Source organism: Homo sapiens, chromosome 6, assembly GCF_000001405.40.
Source record: "Homo sapiens chromosome 6, GRCh38.p14 Primary Assembly".
NCBI classification, from domain to species: Eukaryota; Metazoa; Chordata; class Mammalia; order Primates; family Hominidae; genus Homo; species Homo sapiens.
This window is the reverse complement of record NC_000006.12, coordinates 32,946,991-32,958,121: the sequence shown is the minus strand read 5'-3', so window position 1 is coordinate 32,958,121 and position 11,131 is coordinate 32,946,991. Positions and strand designations below refer to the sequence as shown.

Sequence of the window (11,131 nt, the reverse complement as noted above, 5' to 3'; positions counted from 1 at the left end):
GAGTAAATGAGAGGACCATCCAGGGCAAGTGTATAGTCTAAGAAGAGTAAAGGTTGAGGACAAAACTCCAGGGAACACCAATACTTAAAGGGTTGCTGAAAGAAAGGAGTCCCAAAGGGACTGAAAAGGGGACGCCAGAAAAGTAGGAGGGAAAACTAGGAGAGAGTGCCATCAGGGATGCCAGAAATTTGACCAATTTAGGAGATGGGGTATGGCCAACAGTGTCAGATGTTGCAGAGACTAGTTCATTTGATTTGGCAACACAAAAGTATTGGTGAACAATTGCATTGTTGAGAGTTAAAAGATTAAATGGCAAGAATGGGAGCGGGGCCACAGTTGCCCATGACTTTTCCAAGAAATCTGACTCTGCTAGGGGAAAAAAAATAGAGTCCTTTTTATATATTTATTTATTTATTTTTTGAGATGGAGTCTTGCTCTGTCACCCAGGCTGGAGTGCAATGGCACGATCTCAGCTCACTGCAACCTCCACCTCCCGAATTCAAGTGATTCTCCTGCCTCAGCCTCCTGAGTAGCTTGGATTACAGGCACCCGCCATCACGCCTGGCTAATTTTTTTTTTTTTTGTATTTTTAGTAGAGATTCACCATTAACCAGGATGGCCTTGATCTCCTGACCTCGTGATCCACCCCCCTCGGCCTCCCAAAGTGCTGGGATTACAGGCGTGAATCACTGCGCCTGGCCAAATAGAGTCCATTTTTAAATGCTAGAAAGGGATGGCAGAGCTGAGTGTTAGAAAGCCAGAGCCTCCTGGATTTACCGGTGCTGTGCCATTATTTTCAGAGGCATTCATAGCTAATGACAAAGTAGACAGTGAACTACTGCAAAGCAGAACTGGCTGCCTTGCTCATCTCTTGCCCACAATTATTACTTTCCAAACTGATGAGAGACTATTCCTGAGATACTTATGATGGAGGTAGTTGGGAGGTCCTGGTGGGGAAGGATTACATGGAGGGAAGAGTAGTTATAAGTGTTTGAACTTGTTACCATTTAAACTGAGATTATAGAAGGGGAGAATGGAGTTAACCACCCCTCACCACAGTCTTGGTGAGGGATGGTTATGTTTGTCCTCACCTTGGTCTTGTCTACACTGTGCTCCCTATGGAGAACTTGGACCCCTCTGCCTTGTTCCTCTCACCCAGAGAAATTGCAGTGTCTGCTGTACCTATTCCTATGCCCTTCCACCCAGTCTAGTTTCTCCTGTTCTTCCCCAGATCTCCTTCCAAATAGACTGGTGTAACTGGCACAAAGTGTTTGTTAACTGATTGCCAATCCAATAATAAGGGGACTGAGGTTCTTCTTTGAAGGGTGGGTTTAATTTGGGGCTTTCGTACCAATTCTGACCACGTGTAGAGCATCATTCAGCACACTATGGGCTGTGAGCACAATCTTGCCTACCACCTGTTTTTAAATGGCCTAAAAGCTAAGAATGGTCTTCACATTTTTAAATGGTTAGGGAAAAAAAAAGCAAATGAAGAATATTTCGTGACACATGAAAATTACATGAAATTTGAATTTTAGTGTCCATAAATAAAAAGAGGGTTGAGGACAAAAACTCCAGGGAACACCAGTATTTAAAGAGTAGCTGAAAGGAAGGAGTCTATGAAGGAGACTGAGAAGGAGATGCTCAAGAAGTGGGAGGAAAAGCTAGGAGGAAACTAGGAACACAGCCACTCTCCTTCATTTACATATTGTGCATGGAGGCTTTCGTGCCACAGTTGAGTACTCATGACAGAGATCTGATAGCCCACAATGTCTAAAATATTTGCCATCTGGCCCTTTACAGAAAAAGTTTGCTAACCCCTGGTTTAGGACTCTAGGTGGCTGTGTCCCATATGTCTCCCCACTGGTAGTCTCATAAACTTCTTTTCTACTGTCCAGGGGCCTGAATCTCCCCACTGCCAGAACCGCTGATGGGTTAGTGCATAAATGTTGGGATACTGGGAAATGTTCTTTTGTTTTCTGGAGGGTTACCATGATTTCCAAACCCTAGTCCTTCCCTGGCACCCTGCCTCCACCACACAGACACACACACATATATACACATTGCTGTTCCAGAATATCTAGGAGGTCATAGAGTTGTTTTTGTTTTTGGCTATTACTGCTGCTATTACTTGTTTATCAAAAGAGGATATGAAGCCAGGCACAGTGGCATGTGCCTATAGTCCCCAGCTACTGAGGCGGGAGGATCGCTTGAACTCGGGGGTTCAAGACTGGAGTGAGTTATGATTGCACCTGTAAGTAGCCACTGCACTCCAGTCTGGGCAACAGGGGAAACTTTGTCTTAAAAAAAAAAAAAAAAAAGGTGGAAGGTATGAATTTTGAAAGCCTCAGAAACACTGTTGGACAATATTCACATATATTAATTTCTCAGATTACTTGATTGCCACATTAGAGCTTTCTCACTGCCTCTTCCCCCACCCCTTCTGTCTTTCTCTTTCTTTTGTCTAACAAACTTGAAGCATGTACACTGACAGTTTCTTCCTCACCTCCCACTTACTTCTCAGCCCACCACAATCTGGAGTTGACTCCCACTACAACACTGAAACTGCTCTCAATAAATTTGTCAGCCATCTCATAATCACCAAATCTAAGGACACTTTTCAATCCTTTCTTGACTTTTGAGTAGCATTTAAAAATGCTGACCTTGCCCTCCTTCATGGCACACCTCTTTTTTATTTCTCTGATCTGCTTCTACCTTGGTCTTTTCTTAGTGCTCTGGATGGTCCTCGTGCCACCAGATTCTTACAAACCAGGGTATTTCAGTGTACTCGTTATTATCTTTGTCTCAGTGACACACACACCCTCCTCTACTGTGTTTTGAACTGCTTAGCTTAGGAGTCAGCCAGGTGTGTATTTCCCAGCCTTCCTGGACATCTGGCTTCCTTTTTGATTCTGCCAGTAGGAGGCACTGATGGGAGATCAGAAGGCAAGAGAAACTGAGAAGCATCCTGCTTCAGCCTCTAAACAGTGTCGGTGGCTGGCAATAGCTGGTAGCTATTGGCTGTAGCTGTAGCAGCAGGAAGAATGGGAGACTCAGGACTCCAGCCTCCTGAGCAGAAGTACCTTCTCAAGGATTCTAGCCTTGAAGGAGGTGGCACCTTTCTAGTAGATTGGAACTGACTATGACAGTGTCTCTCACAAGGCAATGAGTAGATTTACAGATTCCAGCTCAGGGATGATGGCAGCTTCTGATTTCCAGATAGCAATCTTTTTTTAAAATGTACATTTCTAGGACTCTCCTTTTTTTTTTTTTTTTGTACTTCTTGCCCTTTTAACACCTTTGTAACCAATTCTCTATATTAAATTCTTTCAGTCTGAAGCACATAAAGTAGTTAAATGCTCCTGACTGGATCCTGGATAACTGGTATGAGGTTTGGGGTTTGAGCCCATGCATGCTTTTGTCCTTGTTTCACTTCCCACTCCTTCTGCACAGTTTACTTGGGTGATCTTATTCATGGCCTCTGCTTCGACATTTGTGCTGATGACTCTCAAATCAGGGTCTTCAGACCATACCTGGGGTCCATACCCACACGCCTCACTGCGCTCCCATGCAGTTTCAGCTGGCTGTTCCACTGGCATTTCAAATTCAACATGTACAAAATCAAGCTCTTTCTCTCTGTAAACCTGCTCCCATGGCATTCTTTTCTGCTTCAATTCAGTCCATCCCTGACCACCCACCCAGCCACCCATGCTGGAAATCTGAGATATCTTTGACTCCTCCACCTTCCCACTCCCACAGCTAATCAGTAGCCAAACCCTTTAGATTCTACTTCCTAATTATCTTGATATTCTATCTCCTCCGCCTCCTCTTATTATGACTTAATTCAGGCTCTTATTATCTGTCATTTAAATTATTGCTGTATTGCTACAGGAGTGGTGTGTATATGTGCAACTGTTCATCTTGGTATGCTATAGACTCTTGCCCAGCAGTTTTGCCTCAATTCTTTAAAAGCTCCAGTTCATTGTTTGAAATATCAATCAGAACATTTTTTCCAAAATGCTAAAATGATTGTCATTCCCCAGTTTTAATATCTCTATCATCTGCTAAGTAAAAGCAAGCTCCTCCTTGTGGCGTAGCAGGGCCCACGTGATCTGGCCCTTGCCAGAATTTGTAGCTTATCACAACATCCTTCTACCCCCCATTACCTCCTATTATACAGGAACACCCAAGCGACCTTCACAACATTCATATCAACTAGTACACAGGGTCTCCAAAGAGGACCTCTGGATGCCTGTGATCTTTGTACTTCTGCCTACCCTTTGCCCTGGCGTGTTTTTCTCTTCCTTCATGTTCTGCTGGCCAAATTGTTTTTCCTTCAAGTCTTAGGAGCCTGCCTGATTATGTTCCTCCTATTCCGCATCCTCATAAAATTACTGCGACTTCCAAAACACTTGGCACATTCTTATTTGAATACATTACATTGTTGTGTAATTATCCCTTGGCCCCCTCCCCCAGCACTAGACTCTAAGCTCTTTGAAGGCAGACTATGCCTATTCATCTTTGTATTTCTAGCCCTGGGCCCAACACCCAGAATTTCTTGTATTTTCAATATATGTCTGCCAAATGAATTAGAGCTAATGCCTGAAGGAGAATAAGTTTTTTTGAGAAAGAGGAAGAGCCAGGAGGGAGGAGAAGGCAGGGTCCGAAGAGCCCTGGGGGTTTACTTGGGGAAGATGCGGTTCCCCATTGCAGCATTCTGCCAGGAGGTGGCACTGCTCTGAAGAGCCAGCTGGTCGCTTACAGACTGAGGCTGACAGCTTGAAACCAAAGAGGGAACTCCACCAGGAAGCAACATTCCTCCACTGGGCTTCCCAGCCCAGTTACATGCCATACTCTGCCCTGGTCAAACAGCCAAGTCTTCAGGAGGTTACTGGCCCCAGGCGTCTCCCCAGTGACTGATGATGTTAAACCCTACGCTTCTCTGATTGGTTTAGACAAAATGACAAGGGCACCTATTGGAAATGATCTGGCAAAACATGATCTAAGGCCACCCTCTCGGGGAGGGAGTTGGGGAAGCTGGGTTGGCTGGGTTGGTAGCTCCTACCTACTGTGTGGCAAGAAGGTATGGGTCATGAACAGAACCAAGGAGCTGCGCTGCTACAGATGTTACCACTTCTGTGGCTGCTACCCCACTCCTGGGCCGTCCCTGAAGGTAAGATGGTACTCCTATTTACTTCCATCCTGAACCTAGGGAGCCCACTCAGCTTTGTGAGGAAAAGCGCTGTGCTTTGTGAGTGGTGGGAAGTCTTATGAGGCAGTGGAAACAACAGGGGAGTGGGGAAAGACAGCTGCTATGTGTGGTTGGTAAACGATATCAGTGATGCTTTGCATGTTCCATTTAAGACAATCTCTTGAAGCGGAGATTGTTCTCTCCATTTTACAAATGAAGAAAATGAGACTCAGAGTTATTTGTGCAAGTTCACACCATTGGAAAGTGGTAGAGCTGGGATTTGAACAAAGTGAATGTTATTTTCACTCCTCCACTCAAGATTCTACTCTGCTTTCTATCATTAACTTATCTTGTGATTCTTGAAAAGTGTCTTAGTTTCCTTCTCTGTAGAGGATGGGGCAGAATGGAAGAATAATCTGGAAGATCCCTCTTCCTCCAAATGTCTGTTTTTCTGGGTATTGGGTTAAAGGTTTCCTGCTGGCTGAGCGATTCCTGCCAAGAGCTTCAAAGAAGAGGGATTATTTTATGCAGTTATGGGGTCACTTCTCCCATTGCTGTCTTTGGGAGGCCTGGTAGGTTAAGGAACAGAAGACATTTTGAGAGACGCTTGGTGCCAATGAAGTGGCTGAAGAAATGTCTGGATACAGGTTTTCCAATTTACCATTTGTGTCTGGGGATAGTGGGAGGCAGTCCCATCTATGGCTTGGGGAGGCTGTAGCCATTCCTCCTCTTTCCCTTCTAAGAGTGAGAAACCCATCCATGGCCTTCTCTAGTCAATACAGTGGCCTGGTATGAATTAGACAAAGGAATCCCCTTTGGGAGGATACAGCCCTATGCCAGGATGTATGGCATGGTGAGCAGAATGCAGGCTTTCACTTGCTTCTTTGGCTAGGTGTCTTTGTGCAGCCCCCAAACACACAATGAACAGTGACTCTGAATCTGTCACTTTATTTTATATATATACATTTTTAAATTTTTTATTTGATTTAATTTATTTTTTTTGACACGGCATCTCGCTCTGTCACCCAGGGTAGAGTGCAGTGACGTGATCTCGGCTCCCTGCAACCCCTGCCTCTGGGGTTCAAGAGACTCTCCTGCCTCAGCCTCCCAAGTAGCTGGGATTACAGGCGCATGCCACCACACCCAGCTGATTTTTGTATTTTTAGTAGAGATGGGGTTTCATCATGTTTGCCAGGCTGGTCTCAAACTCCTGACCTCAGGTGATCCACCCGCCTTGGCCTCCCAAAGTGCTGGGATTACAAGCTTGAGCCACCGCGCCCGGCCTTTATATATATATTTTTTGAGACGGGCTCATTCTGTCACCTGGGCTGGAGTCCAGTGGCACAATCATGGCTCACTGCAGCCCCAACTTCCTAGGCACAAGCAATCCTCCTGCCTCAGCCTCCAGAGTAGCTGAGACCACAGGTGTTTGCCACCACACCTGGCTAAGTTTTTGTATTTTTTGTAGAGACAGGGTCTCGCTGTGTTGCCCAGGTTGGTCTTGAACTCCTGGGCTCAAGCAATCTGCCTGCCTCAGCCTCCCAAAGTGCTGGGATTACAGGCATGAGCCACCATGCCTGGCCTGAATCTGTCACTTTAGAAAGTAGAACTCTTTACTTTTGCCAACTGGCCTTTTTATAGGCAGGGGAAGCTTGGAGAGATGCCATAATTTGTTCTTCACCCCCTTTGGGAGGGGGAGTCTAAATAACAGACACAGGAAAGGGTCTCACCTCAGCCCACGCTCCTTAAGCAGGCCTTGCTTGTTTTTGTTGTTTTGTTTTGAGACAGAGTCTCACTCTGTCACCCAGGCTGGAGTGCAGTGGCTTAATCTTAGCTCCCGGCAACCTCTGCCTCCCTGGTTCAAGCAATTCTCCTCCCTCAGCCTCCCGAGTAGCTACAGGCGCATGCCAACATGCCCAGCTACTTTTTTGTATTTTTAGTAGAGACGGAGTTTCACCATGCTGGCCAGGCTGGTCTCAAACTCCTGACCTCATGATCCACCCACCTTGGCCTCCCAAAGTGCTGGGATTACAGGCATGAGCCACTGCGCCTAGCCCCACCTTGCTGTTTTTTAAGTTGGAGGAGAAGGCTCCCACCTCCCTGAACCTCACCCTGTGTCCTTTGCAGCTCCTACTCCAATGTGGCCAGATGACCTGCAAAACCACACATTCCTGCACACAGTGTACTGCCAGGATGGGAGTCCCAGTGTGGGACTCTCTGAGGCCTACGACGAGGACCAGCTTTTCTTCTTCGACTTTTCCCAGAACACTCGGGTGCCTCGCCTGCCCGAATTTGCTGACTGGGCTCAGGAACAGGGAGATGCTCCTGCCATTTTATTTGACAAAGAGTTCTGCGAGTGGATGATCCAGCAAATAGGGCCAAAACTTGATGGGAAAATCCCGGTGTCCAGAGGTCAGGAGTTTTCTGGGGAGTGAAGGGAGGAGGGCTGCATTAACCTCATTGATCTGTACACTGAATAATTCCCCTTGATACCAGCTCCCCATCTCAAATACTTTCTGGTTCTCTTCATCACCTTAATTTTTCCACCAGCCTTGGTCTGCACCCTGTGTTCTTTTGGTGGGCCGAAGTACCTAGCATGTAGTAGGCATTCAGAACTATGTATTGAATGTGATGAATTCAACAGGTACCAACTGATACCTACTGAATATTAACACTTGTGCTACTATGCCCAGCAAGATGGATGGGAAGAGTGGAAATATCTGATGACGTGACTATGTCTTAGTGAGAAGACAGTGCATGGTTAGACATCAATGTGAGCTCTAGACAGGAAGTGCTGAAGGAAGTCATGGTGGAGGGGTCCAGAGTAGCCTGGATCTGGCTCTGCTTCTATGTCTAGCTGCAGTCCTTGCCTGGAAGAAGACCTCCCTTCAGAGCCCAGCTCCTCGCTCATCTCTGTCTCCCAAAGCCTGACCCACTGTGTTCTTCTCTGCCCTCCCCTCCATATGCCATGGCCCCTCCAAACACAGAGATACCATCTAAACTAGTCTCTTTTTCCCCCTACACTTCAATCCCCCCACCAGGGTTTCCTATCGCTGAAGTGTTCACGCTGAAGCCCCTGGAGTTTGGCAAGCCCAACACTTTGGTCTGTTTTGTCAGTAATCTCTTCCCACCCATGCTGACAGTGAACTGGCAGCATCATTCCGTCCCTGTGGAAGGATTTGGGCCTACTTTTGTCTCAGCTGTCGATGGACTCAGCTTCCAGGCCTTTTCTTACTTAAACTTCACACCAGAACCTTCTGACATTTTCTCCTGCATTGTGACTCACGAAATTGACCGCTACACAGCAATTGCCTATTGGGGTGAGGCTTTCTCCCTGGAATTCTGGTCCTTTTGGGGGCAAAAAGGGATAGATCCATGGGAGGAGGCTTCTTTCTCCACTGGTACCTTGTTTAGTCCATTCCTACCCTAAGCCCATCCCAGTCTCCCATGTCATCCCAGACACCCACGTCATTTCCCTGGGTGGGAGGCTCCCTAACTAGGTCCCCAGGCTGAGCCACTCATTTCCTCCAGTACCCCGGAACGCACTGCCCTCAGATCTGCTGGAGAATGTGCTGTGTGGCGTGGCCTTTGGCCTGGGTGTGCTGGGCATCATCGTGGGCATTGTTCTCATCATCTACTTCCGGAAGCCTTGCTCAGGTGGTATGTCATCTGGAGGGGGCGGGTGAGCCTGTGGGAGCCAGATACAGTGGTGCATGCGTGCATGTGTCAGGATTATTTTGTGGCATGGGGGGACATATAGCGATCCTCAGGCCCTTGGGTGTGGGGGCCTGTATCCAGCACCATGGGGGCACATCTTCCCAGTTGGGGACCCAGTTACACACACACAGTTATGGGTCACAAGAATTGCTTTGAGTGAAAAAAGGAATCATGGGGTGCTGTAGGAAGGGTGCTTGGAGATGATTTGGGAACAAGGAGAGATCAACTTCTGCAGGGTGTGGTGCAGGCAGGGCGAGCAAGGCCTTTGTGGGGGAGGAGGAGGAGGAGAAGGAGGAGGAGGATGGATCCCCTGATGCCTTTCCTCCATCCCTGTCTCTCCCCCAGACTGATTCTTCCAGACCAGAGTTTGATGCCAGCAGCTTCGGCCATCCAAACAGAGGATGCTCAGATTTCTCACATCCTGCCCAGGATCTCCTCTTAGGGTAGAAGTCTCTGGGACATCCCTGGGGTGTGTGTGTAGATTTCCCACCTGGGGACTCTGCTGTCCCTGGGCTTGCATCCCAGGGATCCCAGAGTGGCCTGCCTATCACAACCACATCCCTTCCCCCCACAAGGCAATAAATCTCATTTCTTTATATCAGTGTGGCTTCTTTCTTAACTCATGGTATTTGTTTCTGGATATCTCAACTTGAGTGGGTTGTCGTTTCAAATTCAGCATGCCTTAACCTGAACACAGCTTGACCTCGTTAGGGAGGGAAATAGGGAAAACCCCTAATTTGCCAGCTGAGCTCTTATTCCCTGGTCTTGGCGGTACATGATGTTTTTCCATCTATCGGTTTGTGCAAAATATGTGAGAAACGAAGGCAGAGTTATTTTCTAATAATCTGCTTACAAAATGGTTAAGGAAGCTGCTTGTGTGTTTTGTGCGTGTGTGTGTGTGTTGTGTATTTTACTGTTTGTGAAAATGTTTATGTCTCGTATAGGCTGCCCTGAGGAACATATAACTCCCTTCAACCCTCACCGTAACTGAGAAACAGAAGCTCAGGGATGGGAAGAATAAGCTCCCAAGTGCTATACCAATCAGTTATGTCAGTTCTGGGAAAACAGTATCATGAAGCCCCTAACATGAAGTGAAAACAGCCTGGAAGGGCAAAGAATTCACATGTCTTTCCTGACAATCTGTTCCTTGGCCTGAGTGAACTGTCCAAGGAGAACTGCACAGGTGCTGTCCTGGGAAGATAACGAAAGGTGGCAGCACATGACCACTGGTGGTAAATTGCTTTGCATATGCTTTCTTTCTTGCATTCCTTAGGGTCTGGGAGTTGCTTTGGATGACAGGGTGGCAATAAAGTTGAGAGGGCAATTATTTGGTGAGGGAGTTTCTGTTCTTGGCATTGTACTAGAGTCTAATCTAAAAGAAAATATTAAATTCTCCCTAAGAGAAGTTGCACTGTCTCTGAACCATCTCATTTCTAACAGCATCATGTGTACCGGTTAAGAAGCATGGGCTCTGGAACCTGACTGCTGGGGATTCAATCGTAACTGTCAGCGTTTAGCTGTGAGCCCTTGGGCAAGTTACTTAACTTGTGCTTTGGTGTCATTTTCTGTAAAAGGATGATGATAACAATGGTGTCCCCCTTACCACTCTACACCCACCATGTTGCCAACATTTGAAAGTCAAATAAGTATTAGCGAGGATAAAGGAAAATGTGAACTGTAATATCTTGGTCTGTTGGTGGGAATGTAAACTGTTTATGATGCCCGAATTACAGAAATTATGAACTAGTTGAGTGAAAAAGTTAATATAGGAAATAAGGCAGCATATCCTCATGCTGTGAAGCTTAAATAAGTTAATACCTACAGAATGCTTAAAATAGTGTTTGGCACATAGAAAATGTGCTGAATAACCTAACCTTATCATTATTGGTCTTGATCTTCAGAGGAGAACTTAGTTGCCTCGTAGACTTCTTTCTCTTTTCTGAAATATACCTCAATACTAGCTTCAAGTATTGTATTTTCTCCATTTTAGATGTTTTTCTTTTTATTCTCATGTTAGTAATTCTAGATGTGGTGCTTTCTAGTTCTTCCTAATTTCTCTGTCTCTCTGTTTTCCAACTTATCTAGATATTTCCTGTCAGGCAAGACTTAAAAGTGCTTTATTATGCTGTGTGACTTTAGACAAGTCACTTCCCCTCTCTGGGCCTCAAAGTCTTCATCTGTAAAATGATGGGCTTAGATTAGATGCTCTCTGATGAAACCTTC

At 46.2% G+C, this 11,131-nt stretch overlaps 1 protein-coding gene across 1 annotated transcript; it reads left to right on the top strand.

Moving 5' to 3' along the window:
- HLA-DMA (major histocompatibility complex, class II, DM alpha) lies at positions 5,025-9,504 on the top strand. The gene is made up of 5 exons (NM_006120.4): positions 5,025-5,173; positions 7,319-7,603; positions 8,233-8,511; positions 8,723-8,851; positions 9,254-9,504. Exons 1-5 carry the CDS (start codon positions 5,086-5,088, stop codon positions 9,256-9,258), a joined length of 786 nt encoding a protein of 261 aa, NP_006111.2. The 5' UTR covers positions 5,025-5,085; the 3' UTR covers positions 9,259-9,504.

Excerpts from the sequence above, each read along its gene's own strand:
- HLA-DMA (NM_006120.4), top strand. The coding sequence starts at position 5,086 with ATGGGTCATGAACAGAACCAAGGAGCTGCGCTGCTACAGATGTTACCA. Across the intron at positions 5,174-7,318 it reads CTCCTGGGCCGTCCCTGAAG|CTCCTACTCCAATGTGGCCA; the intron begins GTAAGATGGTAC and ends TGTCCTTTGCAG. Across the intron at positions 7,604-8,232 it reads GAAAATCCCGGTGTCCAGAG|GGTTTCCTATCGCTGAAGTG; the intron begins GTCAGGAGTTTT and ends TCCCCCCACCAG.